Here is a 24,456-nt window from a genome sequence, read left to right on the forward strand (position 1 = left end):
TGAGATGTTAGTGTGAGCAGAGCTAGGCGTGGGGCATATGGGAACTGTAGTATCTTTGCAACTGTTCGGTACATCTAAAAGCTATTCTAAAATTTAAAAAGCTAATTTTAAAAACTGAAAGCAGCATTTATATATATGAAAAAGTTGGCTGAGGTCCCTGTAATCCCTGCACTTTGAGAAGCCGAGGTGGGCAGATTGCTTGAGCCCAGGAGTTTGAGATCAGCCTGGGCAATGTGGAGAAACCCCATCTCCACGGAGAAACCCCGTCTCCACCAAAAACCCCCACAAAAATTAGCTGGGCACAGTGGTACATGCCTGTAGTCCCAGCTACTCAAGGCTGAGACAGGAAGATCACTTGAGCCTGGGAGGTCAAGGCAGCAGTGAGCTATGGTCGCCCTGATGCACTCCAGCCTGGGCAACAGAGCAAGACACTGTCTCAAAAATAAAAAAGTCACAGACTGTTGCCTAAGTCCTTATGGAAACCAACCTGCTTACTGAAGACCTATCGTGAGACATTCCAGCAGTTAGAAATAAGGACCTAGCTTTTCCAGAGCGATTCCACGCCTTTGCTAATCCCCACAGTCAGATGTGCTAGTGGAGACACACAGAATGGGGGAACGGGGTTGGTGATGGGAGGAGGCCAATGGGGTGACTTTTTTTTTTTTTTTTAAACAGAGTTTTGCTCTGCCACCCAGGCTGGAGTGCAGTGGCACGATCTTGGCTTACCGTAACCTCCACTTCCAGGGTTCAAGTGATTCTCCTGCCTCAGTCTCCTGAGTAGCTGGGATTACAGGCACATGCCACCATGCCCAGCTTTTTTTTTTTTTTTTTTTGTATTGTTAATATAGACAGGATTTCACCATGTTGGTTAGGCTGGTCTTGAACTCCTGACTTCAAATGATCTGCCAGACTTGGCCTCCCAAAGTGCTGGGATTACAGGCGTGAGCCACCACGCCCGGCCCAGTGAAGTGACTTTTGAGGCTGACTGCCCCCCCAACTCCTTCCCCCTCACCCCCTCCTACACTTCTAAGGTTGGGGTGCGAGTCACTTGAGGATCCTGGCCCAGGTGTGGAGGGGGACGCTGCTTCCCACAGTGCTCGCTCACGGCAGGTAACTGTGGAAGAACCGTAGCCCAGGTTCTTCCTGGGGGGCTGGGGGGCTGCTGGATTCCACCTGAGCAGGCCCAACACCCACCTGCCCAGCAGCATCTTCTTTGCACCACTGCACGGCTGCTGAACGCGGCCCTCACGCCCTTCTCACATCTGCCTGGCCCTTACCGGCGTAGCAACGTCCTTCATCTCCAGGGGCTTCATGTTGTCCTCCCAGCAGCTCCGTGAAGGAGGAGGGGCAGGGGTGACAAGCCCAGGTTCACAAAGGAAGCAGGGCTGGAGAGAGACGGGTCTCACAACCTACACAACAGTGTCAGGACTCTCAGGAAGATTGTCTTTGCTGGTCAGCGGTGGCCTTGTTCCCACAGAGTGATCAGAGAGGGGCTTTCCTTAAGGGCTTCAAAGGGAAGCCAGGTGGGCCTGTAGCACTTCCCTGCTCTCCTGCTGCCCGTCCTGGAAGGAGGGAGGCGCTTTTGGGAAGCTTCTCGCTGGGCTCCTCTCGCCCGGCACTCACTGGGGTGCAGCTGTCGGAAGCAGCATGTCCACCCTCCAGCACACACGGCACATTTGCCACCGCAGGCCTGTTCCCTGGTAGCTGTCACAGCTGGGGAAGCTGAGGCTGGTGCATGACCAGCAGTGGTCAGGAGTGCTGCTCTCACCTGGGAGCAGGAGGAACACGTAGAATCTGGAGCAGCACCCTGAGCGAGTCAGGTGCGGAGACTCAGTGCCCTATCACCCAGAGGGAGGAGGATGCGGCTGGTGGGGCACCAGGGTGCTTGGGCCCAGCTGTGGGGCTTCCTCCAGGCTGAGTGGGGTGGCGGTGGGCAGGGGTTTCTCTGGAGTCCTGGCCCTGGACCTGCTGAGCTGGTGATCACTGTTGCACATGCCTGTGACTCGGTTTCCCCTGTTTGGTGTGCCCACTGTCTGTGGGATGGGCATGAGACCATCACAGGGCTGCTTGTGGCAAGTCTGCCTCCACAGTTCAGCTCTTGCATTTCAGTCTGAAAGGTCCCCCAGGCTCAGCCTGTTTGGGAGCAGCCTGTGTGCATTGGGGTAGGGGGAAGCAGAAGTGGGGTCCCAGCTCCCAGACACTGCCCACCTGGAGAAGCCATGGCCTGGCTTCCAGGCCCAGTGCCAGTGAACACGCCAGGAGTTGTGGTTGGACCAGGGCCTCAGCTTGACACCCGGGGAGTATCTCACCCCTCTCTGGTTCAGACTCTTGCTGTTGCATAAAAATCCCCCAAGTTCTTGGTCAGTAAGACCTGGGTTAGTGGCCCCAGGGCCAGGGGACTGAAGTAGGGGAGCTTTCCTAACAGACAGGCAGGGTTTGGGGAAGATTTTTCCTTTGTTGGAGGTTGGATGGGGTGGGGGAGGGGAGCAGGAGGACATGGGCTCTGCAGACCCTCTGTATCTCAGGTAGTGGCCAGGAGCCAAGGGCCCTGCTGGTGGTGCTGGCCTGGAATCCAGTCCTCGGTCTCTTCTGCTCTGCCCCTGCGAGATATAAGTGTGGGCTCTGGAGTCACTCACGTCAGCTCCCTGCTCGCTCACCCAGAGCCTCAGTTTCTGCCCCTGTGGAATGGGGCTAATCCTAGCACCTTGCTTGTGGTGCTGCCTGAGCCAAGACCTGCAGTGGCTCCCCTCTGGCATCACTCCAACACTCAGTGAGGGGCAGCTGGGCGAGACTGAGAGCGAGAGACCTTCCAGGTGCCGGGCTTTGCAGCCTCATTGGCCTTTTCTACTAAGGTCCTTTCTCTGGGTGCCCAGGGACGTGGGTGGCTTGCACAGAAGCCATGACAAGTGTGTGGGTCTACTGAGGACCCAGCTGCAGTGAAGGGCCTGGGAGAACCGGAGGTGCATGTGCTCAGGGAGTCTAACCCAGCTGTGGGGCAGAATGTCACAGGGCTGGTAGTGAGAGTGGAAGGTGGGGTCACCTGGACTGCAGGTGCCTGGGGCCAGCCAACTGCAGACTGTCCAGGGAATAGAGGGCCAAGGTGTCAGTGTCACTGGAGGGCATGTGGTGGCAGGGGGCCCTGGGTGGGGACACGTCAAAAGGGCAGGACCCAGGAATTTTCCAGTAAGTACAAACCTAGTGAACTTTGGGTGCAACAAACAAGCTACTTGAGTTACAAACAATATACTTTAGAGAAAAGCAAACAATTTGCCAAAAAACCCCAAGTGAACTAGGAGCAAATGGAACATGGATTGAGGGGGCCATACAGCCATTTGACCATTCTAGTTGGTAGCAGGGGCTGCTGACAGCACTGTGATGAGAAGGACTCTGAGGCTTTGTCTGGGTGCAGCAGACACAGGCTTGATGGGACTGTCACTGTGCAGCTGTGTTCTTCATTGGGTGAGTTGGAAAGCGAGGGTGTGGGAAGGCAGACAGCTTAAAGGTCCAAGGCCAGCAGACTTTGTTCCACTGTCCTCCTGAATTTGGAATTTGGTGGTTTCTTTCTGTTGGACATGTCACCCCTCTTGGGGCTCTAGAAACTCCACCAGTCCCTGAACACCCACCCTGCCCCACCCCACCCCCGACACATAGGCAGAGACCTTGGTTTTGTTTGGAGAGTTACAACAGCTGATAAAGCTGGGTTGCAATTTTCTGAGTCCCCACTGGGTGGCAACCTCTAATTATTCCAAGTTTTAGGGTTTAGAAAACGAAAATACCTTACTGAAGAAATTCAGTAAAACCTATCTTTGCCGCTGAATTATGTGGATGACAGCACTGAATTTTGTCATGTTCAAGGAAGGAGGCATCTCATGGACCCTTTGTCTTCCCTGCAAGGGGCTCTGTTTCCTTGGCATGCAGGGCAACACTTGATGGGAACTGTGGCAAAAGCAACTTCCCCAGAGGTCAGGATGCTTGTGAAACCTCATCACAACGGAATATCCTCAGCTTGCTCCCCCAGAGAGGCCATGGGAGCTGTATGCAGGGTCAGCCCTACTTGGGTATCTTTAGTATACACAGAGCGAGGGGAAAACATCCTAAGGTGCCTCCATCGGCTCAGGACATAGCGGTCCCTGGTGCCGTGGCTGTCAGCATCCCTATCCACCACCTGAGGGCAGTGTCATCCTGCAGAGTGCACCCGGCAACCAAACTGGTGGCCCCTGCTGACTGGCTAAGCTCTGATGTTTCCCTGGCAACCACCTCCCGGCTCCTCCCTCTCCCATTTGCCCAGCCCTGGAACATGCTGCTTAGTTTGATTTGCAGATGCTGCCTTTTTGCTCTCTGTCCCCATGCTTAGGGGCCAAGATGCTGCCCCAGAATGGACCGTGGCGGGCTGTAGAAGCAGGGACGGACCCGCATATGAACATCCCTGATTCCGTCTTAGCTGAAGGGTCCTCCTTTTCCTCCAGTGCTTGTGTTTCCCACATCCTGCTCTGGAAATGAAGAGCAAAATACAGAGAAGGGGCTTTCAGGGCCAGGAGTGAAGGCAGAGAACTGTGTGATGCTTCTGCGATTCCCCAGGCAGAGCCCCTGCACCCCTCCTTGCCTGCTGCCCATCTCATGGGCTGGGGAGAGTGCCCTTCCCCTGCTTGCTGCTGAGGGGAGGGAGGGGATGCAGAACACTGTGGTTCAGAAGCATGGAAGTGTGGTGCCTGGGACATCTGCCCTGATTAGTCCCAGGGGAGATTTGTGGTGGTCCTTCTGGAGCAGACCTTGTCAACTACAAAGCGACTATGAATTCTAATGAGTTGAACCCCACTGGGACACAACTAAGTTGTCCCCAGAGACTGCAGGAAGCCTCAGGAGGGTGCCTTCTGAGGTCAAAGGAAGACAGAGGGGAGAAAGTGGCATGCCTGGGGCCTGCTTGTGGTGCCTGGCCTTGAGGCTGGTGGATGCCTGCATCTGGAGCTGGAGCCCTTGGTCCCAGATAAGCATGTGAGGAATCAAGTCATGGGGAAGGCAGTGAGTGTGGGAGGTGGTGGTGGGGTTGCTGATTTGGACAGCATGGCAGGTGGGGCCTCCACGGGAAGCCGACCTGTCCTAGTCCACTTGGGCTGGGTGGCTCACAGACAGCAGCTTATTGCTCATGGTCCTGGAGGCTGGAAGTCCAAGATCAAGGCACCTGCGGATTTGGTATCTGGCAAGGGCCCATTGCTGGTTCAGAGCTGGCTGCTTCTGTCTGCATCCTCACATGGCAGAAGTGAGCAAGGCAGTTCTCAGAGACTTCTTTTATAAGGGTGCTCATCCCACTCATGAGGGCAGAGCCTCCCAGAGGTCCCATCTCCCAACATCATCATCTTGGAGGTTAGGATTTCAATGCATGACTTTTGTTGAGACACAGATATTCTGTCTATAGCACAACTACACAGCAATACAGGGAAAGGCATCCCAGGCTGGGGGAACAGCATATACGAAGGCTCAGAGGCAGGAGAGAACTGAGGTGTGCAAAGAGTAACACAGAGACACATGGGGAGAGAGGCTGGTGATGAGGCGGGGACCATTGGGGCTGAGGGTTCTCCATGTTGCCCAGGCAGACATGTGCTGGAATTGCTGGATGTATCGCCCAGACATCCAGCAATTCCAGTGCTTCTTCTCAATCCCCCTTCGAATGCCTCTTTCACCTTTCACAAACGTTTCCTCCTGCTCAGGAGGCTTGCCTGGCCTGTGTCTTTGCTCCCTCCTTCCCTTCCCTCTCTCCCTCCATCCCTTCCTCTGCCTTATAGACTCCTCCCTGAGAAGAAGGCCAGCTCCCAGTCTTCCCAGTCTTCCCCTCCCTCAGGCCCAATCCAGCCTGAGCACGGTCTGGATTTAGTCTTTAGGCTTGGTCAAGAGTGTGTTTGCAAACCTCTTCACTCCTTGCTGGCTAGAGCTTCCCATCTTCTTAACCAGGTCCCCTGAGACTCCAAGGCAGGCACCCACTGGGGCTGATCACATGAATAAATTGGGTGTAGTTCCAAGAGGTGGGAACTGTGGTTTTGTAAATTTCACAAGTTGTCTGCATTTCACAAGTGCACAGGTGTACCATGGTGAATCAGAGGCTCCAAGGCAAGGCTCATGGTGTTTAGCCCTGTGCATACACCACCTCATCTCCCTACCCATCTATTCACCCACCCACCCATCCATCCATCCACCTACCCATCTACCTACCCACCCACCAATCCATTCATCCATCCATCCATCCATCTACCCGCTTACCAATTTATCCATCCATCCATCTATTCATCCATCCATCCATCTACCCATCTATTCACCCATCCACCCATCCATTCACCCATCCATCCATCTACCCACCCACCAATCCATCCATCCATCCATCCATCCATCCATCCATCCATCCATCCATGCATCCATCCATCCGCTTACCAATCCATCCATCCATCCATCCATCCATCCATCCATCCATCCACATCCACCTACCCACCCACCAATCCATCCATCCATCCATCCATCCATCCATCCATCCATCCATCCACATACCCTCATCCACCCATCCACCCATTCACTCACCCAGTCATCCATCCATCCATCCATCCATCCATCCACACACCCATCCATCCACCCAACCACCCATTCACTCACCCAGTCATCCATCCATCCATTCATCCATCCATCCACCCACCCACCCAGTCACCCATCTGTCTACTTATCCATTCACCCAGTCACCTATCTATCCACCCAGCCAACCCACCCATCTATTCATCCATCCATCCACCCTCCCATCCATCCACTCATCCACCCACCCACCCAGAATTCATCCATCCACCTATTCATTCAGCAAATACAGACTGGAAATTGCATGGATTAGGTCCTGTACTTGGCTCCAGGAGAGAGCAGAGTTTGCAGAGTCTGTTCAACAGAAATCCAATGTGAGCCATATATGTAATTAATTTAAAATTTCCTAGTAGCCACACTAAAACCAGGTGAAATAAGTGTAATATTTTATTTAACCCGATACATAAACAATATTATAATTTCCACATGCAATCAATATAACAATTATTGAGATATTTTACATTCATATTTTGGTGGCAAGTCTTTGAGATTTGGTGTTTATCTTAGCCTTATAGCACATCTCAATTTGTACAGGTCACATTTCAGGCTCTCGAAACCACATGTGGCAAGTGGCTTGTGCATTGGACAGTGCAGGTCTAGAATATTCTCATGGTGTTGCATGTGGGCAGCAAATGTGGGCTGATCTGTGCCATGAGGAGGCCATAATCAAGGTGCGATGGGAATATGGAGGAGAGGCAACCATGGGTAGAGGAGGCTGAATGGCTTCCCAGAGGAGGCAGCACTGGAGCAGGGCACTGACGGATGAACAGGAGTTCTTCAGGTGCGAAATAGGGAAAAGAAAATCTCCCAATTCCCTGGTGCCCCAAGTAGGGCTCATGAAGGTCCAGGTCAGCTTGAAGAAACCAAGGGCCTTTAATGACCTCCCCACCAGGTGCTCCTTATAGACCCATGGTTCAAATCATCTTATTCCTGCCCCCTGGGCCAGTGTTGACGTTTCCCCATCTTATAGTGACGAACACTGGGGCCTGGAGGTCCAGCTGCTTACAGCCACGGTTTTCAGAGCATCTACCATGAGCTAGAGCTCCACCCCAGATGGTGGGGTTGGAAGTACAAGGAGAAAAGGAGGTGTGGAATAAGGCTCCTTGCTCTGAGCCCGTAAGCTCCCTCTGGGTGGGGGCTCTGTGGGTTGGTGCTGGGAGACTCGCTGTCCCGCTGACCTGCCTTCTCCCATAGATGGTGGCCCTTGAGACCACATGGAACCAATTTCCCAATTAAGCTAATTGGAAGAATCATGGCATGCCTTTCTGGTTATCGGCCTGGGAGGGCAGAATGGTGCCTGCGTGCCGAAGAGTCCATAAACGTTGAGCTATGCTGGCCAGACCATTGGACGGTATCACCTGGTCCAACCACTGTTTATGAGGACTTCCCGAGATCACTGAGGCTTTTAGGCTACTGTGCGTGTGCCTGTGAACTTCCAGGCCCTGTACCTGCATGTTATAGGAGGAAGTGCTGGGGTGGGGGGCTGTGGAGGGGCTCCTGAAACTTGTCTATAACCAGGCATGGCCATCTGGCTCTCACTTGGGTGGACTTTCTTAGGTCTAACTGCAATCTCTCTTGCTGCTGACTCAACATGCCCCCTCCCCCTCCCGAGTGGTTGGGGCCCCAGGTGAGCACTGGCCGGCGGGGCTGCTCACGATTGCTATCCAAGACCAGCCTGGAAAGCTGCCATTTTCATTAAAACCCTTAGACATGAATCTTCCAAAATGTTTCTATGAAGAATCCAAAGGAACCCGTGTCAGGGACATCCTTAGCTGGATGGGCAGCCTGGGAGCGGCGGCATGGGAGCAGCAGCATGGGAGCGGCCGGCCTGGGACAAGCTCCGTGTGACCACAGGCTCATCCTTTCTGCTCACTCGAGGTCTCGGCTTTCCCTTTTGTGGAAAGAGGGAGTTGTTCTGGAATCCACACCCTATGGTCCGTGTGATTTGGTGGGGGCAGCAAGGAGGCCTCCCCCTCCCCTAACACTGCCTCCCTGCTGCCCGGGATCACAGCCGCTGGGCTCCGTCCTGAGGGTTTAGCACTGCCCTCCCCTTTCTCAGATGCTTGCTGCACATTTCAGGGTGGAAAGGGCCCGACCTCATTCTTTCTGGGAGTCCGAAGAGGTTTGAGCAGGGCCCAGCACGTGGCCACTGCAAAGAGCGCTTGCTCTCAAAACCCAAGCTCCACCTTAGTTCAAGAGAGACGCCGATACTTCCCAGGAGGCAGCCACCACCAGGCCCCCAGTTCTAGGGCCCCCGTCAAGGCATGGGCCAGGCCCCATTTGTCTCCTCCACTGCTGAAGAGGCGGGGCCAGGGGTGACAGGAGCAAGCTGCATGAGATCAGGGTGGGGTTCTGGCACCATCCCAGGCTGGCTCTGTGACCTGGGCACGTCATAACCCCTCTTCCTGCCTCCATCCCACATCATCTGTAAAATGGAGGTGACGCCAGCTGCCCTGGCTCCCACTGGACTGTAATTTTGTCTGTGGTTTTCTCCGCCTCCTCCCCTCTCCTGCCTCAGTCGGGACTCATTCAAGCTGATCACCTCCCAGTGGGGTGCTGGTGGGTTCTGGTCACTGTGCAGGAAAGGGTTAACTCAGCAGGCCTGAGTTGTCCACACCCTGCACATTCCAAAGAAAGGTCTGGCTCTGGCCTAGCTCCTGGGAGGTGACCTCTGACCTCTAGCCACTTGAAATATACTGCGTGATAAGTGTCTGTGTTTGCTTGGGGGTCTTGGGCCACCCTAGTGACCGCGCTAATGATGTCATTTACAGTGGGACCTTGGGCTGTGCTGTATCGGCTCATCATCCTGGGGATGAGACCAAGGCCAAGCACACGGGCAGTGAGGCATGTCTTTGCGATGGACCCCCAGTAGGAACCCTGAGCCCCGAGGCGTGGCTGGGCCCCCCTGGCTGGTGCACACCATTCTGGGAGAATTGAGCATCGTCTGCCCGACTCTACTGAGAGAAGACCCCTGGGTGCTGGAGTCTGGTCTCCCCTAAACCCTGCCCTCTAGAGATGCCCAGTTTGCTGGTTCGAGGCTATGTCCTTTCACGGCGCTAAACCCTGACCTCGGGTATCGCTGCCTGGCTGAGTTCTGTGAGCCAGTCCAGCACGTCCCTGAGCCTGAGGGTGGTTTGGGGACCCTGAACTGCAGTGTCAGCATTTCCATGGATGGGTTCTGAAGGCAGGTGATGAGGAGGTGTCAGCCTGGGTTGACTACGAACTTTCAAGTCCTATTTCTGAAACAGCCCTTGGAAGGTTCGGGGGCCATTTTACCCCCTCTAGACATTTTGCTGAGCCTTTGCCTGGCCTTGACACCTGTCTCCACCTGTCCACGTTCCCAGCTCTGCCCACCAGGGACTGTGCCTACACCCAGGGATGGCCTAGGTCAGAGAGGGACAGGCTGTGGACTGAGGTCAGGCGTGAGCCAGCCCTGCCTGCCCCCTACAGTTGGGAATCCTCTGGGCGAGGGAGGCAGACAGGACAGAGGGATGCCGCAGGGGAAACCTACAGGTGTCCCCTTTCCCTGGAAATGGCGGACCTCCTTCTCCAGAGACCCTCACGTGCGTCTCTCTCAGGGACGCCTTGGGCCCCCACGGCGTTTGTGCCCAGCTGCCAGGCCTCTGATAAAGCCGCTTCCTCGCCTCGGCCCCCCTTCCCTGCCTGTGCCTCAGGAAACCCTGGGCCTCCTTCAAGGCCCTTCCCCTGTAAGCCCCTCCGTGTCGGGCTCTGCTGTGTCTTCCGAGACCACACCTGTCCTAGGTGCCTGGGTCCAGGTGAGGCGCTCCCTGCTGCCAGCAGTGGACAGAGACTGGTTTTAATTAAAGCTCCCAGCAACCACCCCTATCGCCGTGGAAACAGAGGTTCCGGTGGAGACGTGGCTCCCAGGCCACACGTGTAAGTAGCGCAGCTGGGAGTGGCGCCCGGAGCAGCCCGAACCCAAAGGCTGATCTTGACCGAGGTGCCCTGCTCCTTCCCGGCCGCGGTCTCCACTCGGCCCACTGCTGGGCCAGGGCCGCAGCGGCCGGAAGGGGCTGTCCCTCATGCACCGTGGCCCTCCGGCCTTGTCTCTCAGCGCCCAGACCCCAGGCACAAGGAGGCAGGGGGCTGGGACCTGCCTGGAGCCTGCTGCCCCAGCTGCTGACGTGGTCGCCCCCGCCCACCCTGTAGACGTGGCCGCCCCCACCCTGCCACGTCGCCACTTCCACCCTGCAGGCAGGAAGCTGCACGCTCTCGCTCTCTTTGTGTAACTTTTGGAGGGTTGTAGTTGCAGGAAACATCTGGATGTGGCCCAAGGAACATAATAAAAAAAAAAGGGAGAGCCGCGGGGAGAAGGCAGGGCTGGGGGAGGTTTGCAAAAGCCATCTGATTTCACTTTGCAAAGACAACTGCAATTATGCCTCTGAGGGTTTGCAGTCACTTCACATTCTAGCCATGCGGTGACGTCAGTGGGAAACTATGAAGCTCGCGGACTGCGTGGTGACACACACCCCACGAAACATGGCTCGGGCCAGCTGCCGGCCATGCTCCAGCCCGACAGCCCACCAACAGGGGTCTCTCCCAGAAGGAGGGAAGCTGTAGCTGGGAGAGGGGGTCCCTAACTTTGGACATGCTGGGTTGTCCCCAATCGCCCTCCGAGCTCCAGCTGTGCCTTCCCCTGCTCAGCCTGCATCTACCCCATCTGACCCCACAGGCTCCTGGACAGAAATGGCCCGGCCTTGCCTAGAGCTAAGCTTCCACTCCAAGGCAGAGCTATGGGGGTCCGGGCTGGCAGGGGGGCCATGGCCAGGCCCTCAGGGCTCCCTGCTTTCCAATGGCCCCAGGATCAGCGGTTTCCACAGTGTCCTGTAGCATGCGGCTGGGTGTCTCCATCGTCCCAGCATCCTGTGGGGTGGGCCGAGGGTCTGTGTCCCTCTATGTCCCGTGGGGTGGACCCCGGGTCTGTGTCCCCCTGTGTCCTGTAGGGTATGGCTGGGGTCTGAGTACCTCTGTGTCCTGTTGGGTGGAGCTGGGGTCTGTGTCCCTCTATGTCCTGTGGGGTGGGGCCGTGGTCTGTGTCCCCCTGTGTCCTGTCAGCTGGGGCTGGGGTCTGTGTCCCTCTGTGTCCTGTGTGGTGGGGCCGGGGTCTGTGTCCCCCTGTGTCCTGTCTGGTGGAGCTGGGGTCTGTGTCCCTCTGTGTCCTGTGTGGTGGGGCCAGTGTCTGTGTCCCCCTGTGTCCTGTCGGGTGGAGCCGGGGTCTGTGTCCATCTGTGTCCTGTGTGGTGGGGCCGGGGTCTGTGTCCATCTGTGTCCTGTGGGGTGGGCCGGGGTCTGTGTCCCTCTGGGTCCTGTGGGGTGGGGCCGGGGTCTGTGTCCCCCTGTGTCCTGTGTGGTGGGGCTGGGGTCTGTGTCCCCCTGTGTCCTGTCGGGTGGAGCTGGGGTCTGTGTCCCTCTGTGTCCTGTGGGGTGGGGCCAGTGTCTGTGTCCCCCTGTGTCCTGTGGGGTGGGGCCGGGGTCTGTGTCCCTCTGTGTCCTGTGGGGTGGGGCCGGGGTCTGTGTCTCTCACAGTGTCCCCAGCTTCTGGTCACTATCTCTGTCCCTCCTGCCCTGGGGTCATCCTGAGCTGGGTCCTGCCTGCCCTGAAATCTCAGGAGCTGGGGTGGTTCTCTCTGCTGCTTCTCTGCCCAAGAGTCCAAGGGCTTCCCAGGGACAGTGCTGCACCCTGATGGAGCCCAGGCCTCTGGGCGAAGGACACAGCCTCTCCCAGACCTGCCCCAGACCCCTGAGGCTTTTTAGTGCAAGGGGACCCCCAGGGCAGGAAGGGTTTGCCTGCCACGTGGCAAGTACTTCTGCCTTGAGGCCGTCACAGACAGGGTCTCTGGACTGTGGTGTAGTGTCCTGTCATCTCCAGGTGTAGTCTCAGAAACGCCTTGAAATGAAGCCTGAAGGGGAAGCCCAGTTCCATGGTGTGGACGAGCGTGTCTGCCGGAGGCCTCGGAGTCGCATCCACCGGTGTTTATTGACAGCTGACTGGTGCTGTGCCCTGAGACCCAGGCCCTGCCCTCTGGCACTCAGTCTACCAGGGGCCAAGGCCTGCACCCTCCCTCTGGGCTCACCTTGGTCAAGCCTCTGGTGGACTTTTAAGGCCCACGGGGAACCCCCCCACAGACCCCCTTCCCACTCTGCAGGTGGGCCGCTGAGGCCTCTGCAGACGGGCCTGAGCAGCAGGGCCTGTGCTTGTCGAGGCCCCATGGCTCCCGCCATGGCCAGGGTGAGATGCAGAGGGCCACGGAGCCTGCGGTGGGGCCCTGGGGTTTGACACTGGGGCCCTGCCTGGAATGGGGCCTTGGTGTGATGGGAGCTGGGGGTGGGGTGGAGCCTGCCTGGGCCGAGGGGCTGTCTGGTCGGGAGCGATTCTTCAGCAGCAGAGACTTGAGTCATGGCTGGGGCCTCCTGGCCTCTGGGGGGACCTTAAGACATTTTTTCCATGGAAAGTAGCTGCTGGCTCTCTGCTTACCGGGGAGCTCTCTGTCCCCTCCCACTGCCTGCTGAGGGTTTGGTGGGGGCTGCTTCACTTCTTTGCTGGACTTTCCACTGGCCTGGATGGGCCGAGAGCTCCAGGCAGGGACCGGACAGCCAGACTCTGGACCCAGTCCCAGCCTGCAAGTGCCTGTCCTCTGAGCCTGAGTTTTGCCTTCTGCCAGGGTGAGGGCTCTGGGTGAGGCTAGACGCTGAATGGCAAGGACTGGGCTGTGATGGGACGCTGGGCTCCAGGTCTCTGTTAACTCTTTAAGGGAAAGGTGGGGCGGGATATGGAGGGAGTGGCGCGCATCATCCTCCCGGAGCCTGCAGAAATCCAGGCGAAATTGGCACATCTTTTGGGAATTTGCAGGTGCTGCTGAATTTAGGAGAAGCCACCCTGAAAACTTGCTCAGGGGTTGCCCTGGTCTCTGACCCAACAGCTGGTGGGGGAGGCACCCACCTGGCCTGTGTGACCCCCAGCTAGTTCTTCGCTGGGCGACACTGGCCATAAACAGGTCAGTCAGAAGCCTGCCCTGAACCCCTCGAAGGCCTCATCCCTCCCTATGGGAGACCAGGATGGCGGCTCTGGAGCTCAAGGCTGTGCACTGGAGGTGGGCCTGGGCTGTGGGGCAGGATCTGCCGTGGTCAAACGTGGGTCAGTGTCAACTGGGAAAGCAGAAGTCTGCGGCCAAGCTGGGGACCTCCCTTCCCTCTTCTCCCTGCAGCATGTGGCGGGGGCAGGGTGAGGTCAGGGAGAATGGCAGATAGGACAACCTCATGGGTCATGAGTCATGAGGCTGGGTATGGGTGCAGCTAGGAAGGGCCCAAGGTGAATTTTCTCCAAGAGAGCTTTACGAAAGGGACCTGGGGACTCACAGGGGCGGCTTCGTGACCATCCCAACCCCAACCCCTCCTCCAGGAAGCCCGTCTGAGCCAGCCCTGCCAGTCTGAGCTCCTACCTCTGTGGATCCTGCCTGTCGTCCACACCTGACTGCCATGTCCTCTAGGCTTTCAGGGAACACAAATCTTATCTCTTGGGCCTGTCCTGGCTGGGCCTCCCTCCTGCTGGCTCTGTGGCCCTCATCGCTGGAGGCCTCGCCCCTCAAGGCTCTGCCCTGTGTGCACCGTGGGCCTAGCGGGGCTCTCACAGCACTTCACTGGCCCTGGTGGTCATTCGGGGTCAGCCCCTGTGCACCTCTCCCGTTACCCACGGAGGACATTTCCCAGATGCTGGAGGATGCTTGACCTCTAGGCCCCTGTGACCAAAATCGAGCCTGAGTCTGAAGCTGTGGCCTAACTGCGGCCCTTGGGGATGGGGAGGCCCGATGCCACATGCCTCTCTGCCCCTCCCGTGTGCCCTCCATGCAGGCATGAGTTCCTCGGAAGGGACTCCACCACCCACTCCCTAGGATGGAGCGTGATGCTCACTGAATCCTCTGGGGTCCTGTCTCCAGGAGACTTTCTGGGTGACAGATGGGACACTGAGGCCCAGAAAAGGGAAGATGTCAGCTGAGGGTCATGCAGCAGGTTGGGGCAGAGTCCAGACTCAAACCCAGCGCCCTGATTATCAGCCAGGATGAGCTCTGTTCTTGGTATCTGCACTGAGAAGCGTGTGCATGAGAAGGAAACTTCCGGAGGAGGGCTCGGTTAAAGTTGATGATGCCCTCGCTCAGCTGGCCTTTCTGCTGTTGGGGCTCATTCTTCTGGAATGTTCCAGCACCTACCCCTCCCACGATACACTCGGTTTCCAACACTCCAGTATGCGCTTCTGCCGATGGCTCTCCTTCACGTGCAAGCATCGGGCCCTCCTTCCTGGAGGCTGTGCATGGAGCTGCTTTTCTTTCTAATGGTGCTCCTGGGCCCTGCTGGACGCCACTTTGCTGGGCATTTTGCTTGTTTTCCCTGTGGGGCTGTCACCAGCTGGTGCTGTCATGAACACTCCTGTCCAGCATTCGGCAGGTGCTCTCCTGGATGGAGTTCAGAAGCGACGTTGCTGGGTCCAAGGGGCATGCCCCTTTTACATTCTAAAATTCTATGGGACCTCAGTGGGGCTTTGGTTCTCTGAAGAGGAATTGTGAAGGGCGCCCTGGGGCCTGTTGGAAGCCTTCACCCAGCAGGAGTCACCTATGTGGGGAGCTGTGTTGGGGTCTCTGCCCCCTTCTGGAAGGTGTCAAGCACTTTTGCCAAACAAACAACTGCCTCAGGCCCTCCCTGGAGAAGCTGAGACAATAGGTGACCAGGGCATGACGGGTGGTTGCAGGAGACGGGACCACAGGCTCTGGAGCTCCTTAGCTGGACAGAGCAGCTCCCTGAGCTCAGAGAAGCCCTGTCCTGCTCGTTAGAGGGCTGTTCAGCCTAGTCCTGGATGGGTGTGGCTGTCAGCAGGTAGGTGACTTTTATGAGACAGTCTGCCCACACTTCATTGCCTATCCCTCTGCCTGTGGGGAGGCGGGGTGCTGTGGGCTGGGCAGGGCGGTAAAGGAAGGCCTGTGGCTCCATGGTTGGGGGCCTTCTCCCCCTCCCTCTGCTGGTGCTGTCTCCTGACCTGGCTGCTCTGAGCCTCTCTAGAGGGCTGTGGACCTGCTACTTCATCCTTTGTGTACATCATCCTGTCACAGGGTCCTCGGAGTTCCTGAGAGGACAGCAAGACCCCACTCTTACTCCAAGAGCCCCACATTGGGAGGGGGCTCCAGCCATGTGCCCATGGGGGGCTGAATGGGAAAAGACACATGAGTGAAAGGTGCCACACATGCCCGAGGTTTGCATCCTGGTGAAAATCTTCCACCTTCTTTCTTTAGGCCAAGAAGGGCTGTGCAGGGTCTGCCTCTTAGTTCTCTGTTACTATGTAACAAACCACCCCACAACTTAGTGGCTTAAAATAGCAGTAATCATTCATCATCACTCACAGTTTCTGTGGATCAGGACTTTGGAAATGGCTTAGTCAATGGGTGGTTCTGCCTTGGGGTTTCCCAAGAGGCTGCGGCCAGATGTTGGCCAGAGCTGCGTCATCTGAATGTCGGCCAGGGCTGGAGGAGCCACTTCCAAGGTGGCACACCACGAGGCTGGCACGCTGCTTGCCTCCACAGTGCTGCTTGAGCATCCTCTCAACATGGAGGCTGGCTTCCCCCAGTGCAAGTGATCCAGCAGGCCAAGGCAGAAGCTGCCACGCCATTAAGGAGCCAGACTTGAGAGTCATGCATTGTTATGTCCACAGTGTTCTTGTGGTCACCTGACCCCTCAGATTGCCAGCTGTGGCCCAGCCAGGTCCCAATGTGGCCCTTCTCCGAGATGGCTCTTGCAGCACTGCCCTATGGCCCATTTTCTCACATGCCTGGCTCCTCTCAACGGGACCCCTGGGGCTGATTTGCAGGAGGAGTTTGGTCAGTGCTTGAGTTGAACTGAGCCCCCAGGCCTCCCAGCTTGCCTTCAACTCAGGGTTACGGAGCTCATTGAACTCTGAAGGGCCTGCGTGGGCCATTTTGTAGCTTGGGCGGAGTGTACAGTGAGAAGGACATGCGTTCTAATTCCCACTGTGTGGCCTCGCACTCATCACAAAGCTCCCCGCCCTTGGTTTCCTCATCTGTAAAATGAGAGTATTGATGGAACTTTCTCCTGGAGGTTGAAGCACAGCAGCTGGGCGGGGCTGAAGCTGTGGCAATGGGGGCTGTCATAACCACACCAACAGCCGGCTGTGTGGCCTATCAGTGCCCTGACCCCCACCATGGGAGAGGTGTGCCGGCCATGCTGGCTGTGGGAGGAGCTGGAGAGGACCGAGAGAGAGGACAGAGGTGGGGGAGGGCACACACCTCCCAACTGCAGGCCGTGGTCAGTGGCTGTGACAGGAAAATCCGGGAGGTGGACCCATTATCATGAGGCTCAGGCCACGCAATCTGCTTGGCTGTGGAGTGAAGCCAGTGCAGAGATGTGGGGGTGGGAGAGCATGGGGTGGCGTCCGCTCGGAGGTAGGAGGGTAGGGCGAGGGCTTCAGCCCCACCTGGGACTCCTGCCAGCACCTCGTGCCCCAGGCTTCGTGGTTGGGGGGCACACGGGAGTCCTTGTGGGCTGGTTGGTTTCTGATGCGTTTTCTGTCTCTTTGTCGCGGCTGAACTCTGCCTCCTCCTCTTATGGACATGTCAGTTATAGAGCCCCTTGGTGCCTTTTTTTTCTGCCTCAAGACAGAGGACAGCTTGAAGAGCAAAGGTGACAATTGTGCTGGAAGAAGGGAAAACATAATCCTTTACAACTACTCAACCATAAAAGCCCAGACAGGCAGGAGGTTTGCACTGTGGGTGAAACGGGCTGCTGGTGTGGTGGGATGGGGGCCTCTGGTCAGCTGGGCCACCTGGCATCAGTCTGTGGGTGGGTTGCCCGGCCCTGCCCCACCTCTGGAAGATTCTACATCTGTGTAGGTTGCAGGTCTAGAGTCTGTCCCCAGCGTCTCCACGGTAATGGTTTTCATTCCCTGTCACTCAAAGCTCCTTTTAAGTAGAAAAGAATAAAAAGTTTGAAAAGGAGAAAGGAGGATTCCCACTTTAGGTCCATTTGGCCCCTGACCTCGGCTTTAGAGGGCGCCGGTGCTCGGAGGTCTCTGCTGGCTACGAAGAAGTGGGGTTGGGGGGCTGCCTCTGCCTCCTACCTGTCCCCCGGCCACCTTCCTATGAGGCCATCAATGCCCTGGAAGCCTGCAGCTGCTGCAGTGTCCCTGGTCTGCCCACTTCTTCCCAGGTTCCCTCTGAGATCTGCCCTTCCCCCCACAGCGGGCTGCCAGTCTGACCCAGTCACTCCTCAGCTGGAAACCCTCCAGGTGAAGCACAGAGTTGGGGCCTAAAGCCCGCCTTCCAGCCCTGGGCAAGCCGGGCCACTCCTCTGTCCCTGGATGCCCGCCTCAGCAGGGCCGCCTCCCCTTTGGGTGTTTTGTCCCCAGAGTTTCTAATTCAAACCTTTCCTGACTCCCTTCCACCTGGTCCTCTCTTCCTCATCCCTCAGAGCAGGGCTGAGACCCCAGAGACCCTGGCTGGGTCGCGGGCCCCTCTGCACGCCCCCCATCCCCCTGCCCCCTTGGAGCTGCAATGCAGGTGTCCACTTTCCTCACTGGGCTGTGACGTCCCTGAGGGCCCCGGCCTCCCCTCCCTGTTCCCAGGGCTTGGCCCAGTGTAGATGTCCAGTGGGCATCAGGGTGGACGCCATGGTGACAGCTTAGATGCATTTTTGGAGATTGTGATGGTGGTGTTGGGGCCAGGGAGGAGGAACCCCCGTGAGCACACAAGCTGACAGCCCCATGGCCACAGAAAATACACAAGGCCCTTTTCCTCAGTTGTGGCCCCAATTCCAGAGTCAACACCAATAGGTGGGCTCCTTCCTGGGCCTTGGGGAAGCCAGTCTGGGACCTAGGTGGCCAGTTAGTTCTGGGTTTGCAGCCTCGGCTCCTGGAGACCCCGCTGTAGGCAGAGCTCCTGTTCTGTGCTGGAAGTTTGAGTCCTTTGTGGAGGACACAGTGGGGGAGATGGAGGATGGTTTATGATGCTCTGTGCCCCTCCTGGGCAAGGGGATGCCAGGGCTGGTGAGCACATGGGGTAGGAGCTGAGGCATTGTGGGGGTCCTGGCCATGTCTCTCACTTGTGAGGACCTGACACTCACCGGGGCCAGCTCTTGTGGATGACATCGGTGTCATGAGCTCTGATGGGACATCATGGGGCTTCCTGGATAGGAAGGGAGTCCTGCCGGCCTCTTGGGGGTAGAGCCGGCAGCCTCTGCCTCTCCTGGAGGCCCCGGTGTCATGCCTCAGCTCTTCCCCACACCTCTGCGCTGCTCACCCAGCCGCCCCCTCCCATTAGTGCCCACTCTGCACCACACGCGCCTCTGCCCGGCTCACCCAGCCGCCCCCCCATTAGTGCCCACTCTGCACCACACGCGCCTCTGCCCCGCTCACCCAGCCTCCCCCCCATTAGTGCCCACTCTGCACCACACGCGCCTCTGCCCCGCTCACCCAGCCTCCCCCCCATTAGTGCCCACTCTGCACCACACGCGCCTCTGCCCGGCTCACCCAGCCTCCCCCCCATTAGTGCCCACTCTGCACCACACGCACCTCTGCCCCGCTCACCCAGCCGCCCCCTCATTAGTGCCCACTCTGCACCACACGCGCCTCTGCCCCGCTCACCCAGCCTCCCCCCCATTAGTGCCCACTCTGCGCCACACGCGCCTCTGCCCCGCTCACCCAGCCGCCCCCTCATTAGTGCCCACTCTGCACCACACGCGCCTCTGCCCCGCTCACCCAGCCGCCCCCTCATTAGTGCCCACTCTGCACCACACGCGCCTCTGCCCGGCTCACCCAGCCTCCCCCCCATTAGTGCCCACTCTGCACCACACGCGCCTCTGCCCCGCTCACCCAGCCTCCCCCCCATTAGTGCCCACTCTGCACCACACGCGCCTCTGCCCGGCTCACCCAGCCGCCCCCCCATTAGTGCCCACTCTGCACCACACGCGCCTCTGCCCCGCTCACCCAGCCTCCCCCCCATTAGTGCCCACTCTGCACCACACGCGCCTCTGCCCCGCTCACCCAGCCTCCCCCCCATTAGTGCCCACTCTGCACCACACGCGCCTCTGCCCGGCTCACCCAGCCGCCCCCCCATTAGTGCCCACTCTGCACCACACGCGCCTCTGCCCCGCTCACCCAGCCTCCCCCCCATTAGTGCCCACTCTGCACCACACGCGCCTCTGCCCCGCTCACCCAGCCTCCCCCCCATTAGTGCCCACTCTGCACCACACGCGCCTCTGCCCGGCTCACCCAGCCGCCCCCCCATTAGTGCCCACTCTGCACCACACGCGCCTCTGCCCCGCTCACCCAGCCTCCCCCCCATTAGTGCCCACTCTGCACCACACGCGCCTCTGCCCGGCTCACCCAGCCGCCCCCCCATTAGTGCCCACTCTGCACCACACGCGCCTCTGCCCCGCTCACCCAGCCTCCCCCCCATTAGTGCCCACTCTGCACCACACGCGCCTCTGCCCCGCTCACCCAGCCTCCCCCCCATTAGTGCCCACTCTGCACCACACGCGCCTCTGCCCGGCTCACCCAGCCGCCCCCCCATTAGTGCCCACTCTGCACCACACGCACCTCTGCCCCGCTCACCCAGCCGCCCCCTCATTAGTGCCCACTCTGCGCCACACGCGCCTCTGCCCGGCTCACCCAGCCTCCCCCCCATTAGTGCCCACTCTGCGCCACACGCGCCTCTGCCCCGCTCACCCAGCCGCCCCCTCATTAGTGCCCACTCTGCACCACACGCGCCTCTGCCCCGCTCACCCAGCCGCCCCCTCATTAGTGCCCACTCTGCGCCACACGCGCCTCTGCCCGGCTCACCCAGCCTCCCCCCCATTAGTGCCCACTCTGCACCACACGCGCCTCTGCCCCGCTCACCCAGCCTCCCCCCCATTAGTGCCCACTCTGCACCACACGCGCCTCTGCCCGGCTCACCCAGCCGCCCCCCCATTAGTGCCCACTCTGCACCACACGCGCCTCTGCCCGGCTCACCCAGCCTCCCCCCCATTAGTGCCCACTCTGCACCACACGCGCCTCTGCCCCGCTCACCCAGCCTCCCCCCCATTAGTGCCCACTCTGCACCACACGCGCCTCTGCCCGGCTCACCCAGCCGCCCCCCCATTAGTGCCCACTCTGCACCACACGCGCCTCTGCCCCGCTCACCCAGCCTCCCCCCCATTAGTGCCCACTCTGCACCACACGCGCCTCTGCCCCGCTCACCCAGCCTCCCCCCCATTAGTGCCCACTCTGCGCCACACGCGCCTCTGCCCCGCTCACCCAGCCGCCCCCTCATTAGTGCCCACTCTGCACCACACGCGCCTCTGCCCCGCTCACCCAGCCGCCCCCTCATTAGTGCCCACTCTGCGCCACACGCGCCTCTGCCCCGCTCACCCAGCCGCCCCCTCATTAGTGCCCACTCTGCGCCACACGCGCCTCTGCCCCGCTCACCCAGCCGCCCCCTCATTAGTGCCCACTCTGCGCCACACGCGCCTCTGCCCCGCTCACCCAGCCGCCCCCTCATTAGTGCCCACTCTGCGCCACACGCGCCTCTGCCCCGCTCAGCCAGCCGCCCCCTCATTAGTGCCCACTCTGCGCCACACGCGCCTCTGCCCCGCTCACCCAGCCGCCCCCTCATTAGTGCCCACTCTGCGCCACACGCGCCTCTGCCCCGCTCACCCAGCCGCCCCCTCATTAGTGCCCACTCTGCACCATACGCGCCTCTGCCCCGCTCACCCAGCCGCCCCTCCATTAGTGCCCACTCTGTGCCACATGTGCCACTGCCCATGTCCCTTGCTTCAGTTCCAATGGGCCTACTGGCCTCGGATCCCTTGTCCACTCCAGGTCTGCACTTGGGAGATGGGGTCACCTGGTGCTGGGCCCCTGAAGTATGCCGATGACCTGGGCCCTGCAGAAGTGTCCAGCTTGGGGAGGCGGGAAGCAAAGCAGAGCTCCGGGGTGGCCTTTGATTTTCTACTTCCCCCAGCCCCATTCCAGGGACCCCTCCACCCTGCTACACCCACCTGCATGCAGGGACATGAGCCGAGAGCCCAGAGGGGACCCGTGAGAAGGGAGGGAGGAAAGTGAGAAGACTCCGGTACCAGCAGCCTGGAGTTACACTGGGACAACCAGACGCTCCAGGGTGCATCAGCAGAGGACGACCCTGTCCCTGAGCAGCTCCCAGGCGGCTCTGCCATCCTGGAGGCCCCTGGGGCGCTGTCCTATCAGCACCAAGCAGCTGTGCTCCCAAACTCTGGGGCGTGCAGCCTCAGGGCAAGGTGGCTTTGGGTGGCTGATGGTGCCCCCTCAGGGACTCTGAGCAGGTCTGAATCTTTCTGAGCCCTTGTTTCTTTAGGTACAAAGCAGAGATGCTTACCTGCCAGATGGAAGGTCTGGGGGAGGGGAAGGGACTTCAGAACACGCCGCTGGGGCATAAAATTATTTTGTGCAGGAGGCATTTGAGTTTCAGAAACCCCTTATCTGAATAAAAGCAGAGCCCCCCAAAAGAACTAGAAATAACTCAACTGCTGTACATCCCTCCCTGGAGTGGCCAGGGAAGATGGACTCTTATCATAGTCAGTGACGAGAAACCTCCATAGCACACGGATACGGGCGTGGTCCCAGAGCCACGCTACCCCAAATCTGTCCACCTCAGGGCCCATTTACCTTTCCAAAAAGCCATTCGTTTTCCTGTGTGTGCCCTTCTCCTTCTCCCCTGATTTTTGTGTACCTCTAAGAGGATATGTAAGCCCCAGATTCTAACCACTCCTCTGAATCCCATTTTCCTGTGGTCTCCCATGTACATTTCTACATGAAAACATTTTTTTCCTCTTCCTAATCTGCCTCTTGTCAGTTTAATTTGCAGGACACAGTGGCATCATCAGAGATGGCAGAGCTCTTTCACTCCATGGGAACTGCTCTTGGAGCCCCTGGCCCCTTGAGGGGACCTGAGACTCGGGGAGGAGGGAGGTCTGCTTATGTCAGGGTGGGGCTGGGCTGACCTGTCTCCATGCACATCAGGCAGCCTGGGTCCTGTCTCAGCCTGGCCAGCATGATCGACTCCTATTCCCACGTCCGAGCCCTTTGCAGGTATTACCTCCTTTCCAGAAGGGGCTGCTGCCTTTTGTTGCTCTTCCTAAATCAGGTCCTGGGCCAGGTAGTTTAGGAGCAATGAGGTCCTTAATGTTTATGGCCCCGTGCCCTCCTTCACAGGTGGGGGAGCTGAGGGTTTAGAGGGATGGCGCGACTTCCCCCGAGTGCCCCAGCAGGATATGAGGCCAGGCTGCTACATCCATCCCAGGACCCTAGGGCCCTGCAGGCGGAGGCTGGGACCTCTGCACCCACCTCAAAGGCCTGTCCATTTGCAGGGCGGGACTGCCCACGAGGCTGGGCCTGATCCAGCTCCAGACACCAACCCCATGGAATCCCAGTTCCACCTGGGGCAGCCTGTGATGAGCAGGTCACCTCACCTCTCCAAGCCTTGGTTTTATGTCTGTAAAGTAGAGGCAATGTTATCCCTCGCTGCACAGGGTTGATGCAACGGGGCAAGAAATAAGGTGGGGGAGACAGGCTGCCTGCGTTCCCCCCAACACGCATGCTCCCTCAGGAACCCGATGCCTGTGCAGCCTTGCCAGGCTAGCACGGGGACCTGCCTCTCAGAGGCAAGACCCAGAATGCACCCATAGTATGGCCACTTGATCTGGGACCCTGGCAACCTCCTCCCCTGTCTCTGGGCCTCAGTTTCTCCCCCTGCACCACGGGGGGCTACGCTAGTTGACTGGAGCCCCTTCTTGGCCCAGTTTGTGCAGAGCATGAAACCAGTCACCCGGGTGTCCTGCTGGCCTCCCAGACCATGCGATGCTGCTGGTTAGCAACCACAGAAACAAACGCATCAAGAGGCATTCCTTGGCTTTAAAAAGAGGCCGTTTGAAGAGGCAGGCCGGCCTCCCCCGCCCGGTGTGCCCGGCATCTGGGAGGGGCAGGGCTGGGAAGGTGATGAGTGCATGGCAGCCAGACCTTGGCTGGCCGGAGGAGGCCGGCGGGCTGGGGCCCTGGCTTTGGTCAGGCTTGTTTTATGTCAGGGTGACTTGGGCCGTGGAGGAGCCGCCGTCTTGCCAAAACAATGTTTAAAACATCTCGGAAAATGTGCAGCCACTTCTTTTCCACGGGATTCATGCCGAGTCTTCCTGGCTTGTTGGGGAGGGTTGAGGACTGGCCAGGAGGGAGTGAAGAGGGCGGCCACAGGAAAAAGAGTGAGAGACTTTAGACTGAGGCAGGGGCCTGTCCCTGCCCTGCCTGCCCTCCCTGTCTCTTCTCTCCCTGTCCCCCACCCCTCACCACCCACCCCAGGAAGTCAAAACTCTGTCTCTGTTTCTCTCGCCACCCCAGGCCACCCTAGGAAGTGGGCACTAAACCCATTTCACAGATGGGCAGCCACAGTGCTGGGGTAGGAAATGAGGATTCTGACCCACCCAGCGTGGGGGCTGGGAGCTGGATCGGCTACAGAATGTGTAGAGCCTCTGCAAAGAGAAAACAGAGGTCCCACATTCCAGATGGAAATAACTAAGAATTTTAAGAGGGCAACAACAAAGCATTAAACCAACTACAAGACCCTCCTGAGCCTGGGTTCTCACGAGCCGGGGTCCTCCTGAGCCTGGGTCCTCCTAAGCCTGGGATCCTCCTGAGCCTGGGTCCTCCTGAGCCTGGGGCCCTCCTAAGTCAGGGTCCTCCTGAGCCTGGATCCTCCTGAGCCTGGGTTCCTCCTGAGCCTGGGTCCTTCCATGTCAGGGTCCTCCTGAACTGGGGTCCTCCTGAGC

General features: G+C 58.7%; 1 long non-coding RNA gene across 1 annotated transcript in view, besides 6 other annotated features; it reads left to right on the forward strand.

Moving 5' to 3' along the window:
* LOC105376311 (uncharacterized) overlaps positions 1–24,456 on the forward strand; it is a 38,028-nt gene that overhangs the window by 371 nt on the left and 13,201 nt on the right. The gene's annotated exons all lie outside the window — the stretch shown is intronic.
* Positions 1,488–1,895: a silencer, noted in NCBI's record as "fragment chr9:137338907-137339314 (GRCh37/hg19 assembly coordinates)". NCBI's record gives its function as "represses an EF-1alpha promoter that drives an FKBP-Casp9 reporter gene in an ReSE screen in HepG2 liver carcinoma cells {active_cell/tissue: HepG2}" and the evidence as "EXISTENCE:reporter gene assay evidence [ECO:0000049][PMID:32094911]".
* Positions 4,070–4,364: a silencer, noted in NCBI's record as "tiled region #11314; HepG2 Repressive DNase matched - State 12:CtcfO". NCBI's record gives its function as "represses a minimal TATA promoter and a strong SV40 promoter by Sharpr-MPRA in HepG2 cells {active_cell/tissue: HepG2}" and the evidence as "EXISTENCE:reporter gene assay evidence [ECO:0000049][PMID:27701403]".
* Positions 8,776–9,611: an enhancer, noted in NCBI's record as "H3K4me1 hESC enhancer chr9:137346195-137347030 (GRCh37/hg19 assembly coordinates)". NCBI's record gives its function as "activates a minimal SCP1, AML or CMV promoter by ChIP-STARR-seq in naive H9 embryonic stem cells {active_cell/tissue: H9 hESC(naive)}" and the evidence as "EXISTENCE:reporter gene assay evidence [ECO:0000049][PMID:30033119]".
* Positions 9,955–10,892: an enhancer, noted in NCBI's record as "H3K27ac-H3K4me1 hESC enhancer chr9:137347374-137348311 (GRCh37/hg19 assembly coordinates)". NCBI's record gives its function as "activates a minimal SCP1, AML or CMV promoter by ChIP-STARR-seq in primed H9 embryonic stem cells {active_cell/tissue: H9 hESC(primed)}" and the evidence as "EXISTENCE:reporter gene assay evidence [ECO:0000049][PMID:30033119]".
* Positions 10,893–11,829: an enhancer, noted in NCBI's record as "H3K27ac-H3K4me1 hESC enhancer chr9:137348312-137349248 (GRCh37/hg19 assembly coordinates)". NCBI's record gives its function as "activates a minimal SCP1, AML or CMV promoter by ChIP-STARR-seq in primed H9 embryonic stem cells {active_cell/tissue: H9 hESC(primed)}" and the evidence as "EXISTENCE:reporter gene assay evidence [ECO:0000049][PMID:30033119]".
* Positions 16,345–16,845: an enhancer, noted in NCBI's record as "H3K4me1 hESC enhancer chr9:137353764-137354264 (GRCh37/hg19 assembly coordinates)". NCBI's record gives its function as "activates a minimal SCP1, AML or CMV promoter by ChIP-STARR-seq in primed H9 embryonic stem cells {active_cell/tissue: H9 hESC(primed)}" and the evidence as "EXISTENCE:reporter gene assay evidence [ECO:0000049][PMID:30033119]".

Source organism: Homo sapiens, chromosome 9, assembly GCF_000001405.40.
Source record: "Homo sapiens chromosome 9, GRCh38.p14 Primary Assembly".
Taxonomy (NCBI): Eukaryota; Metazoa; Chordata; class Mammalia; order Primates; family Hominidae; genus Homo; species Homo sapiens.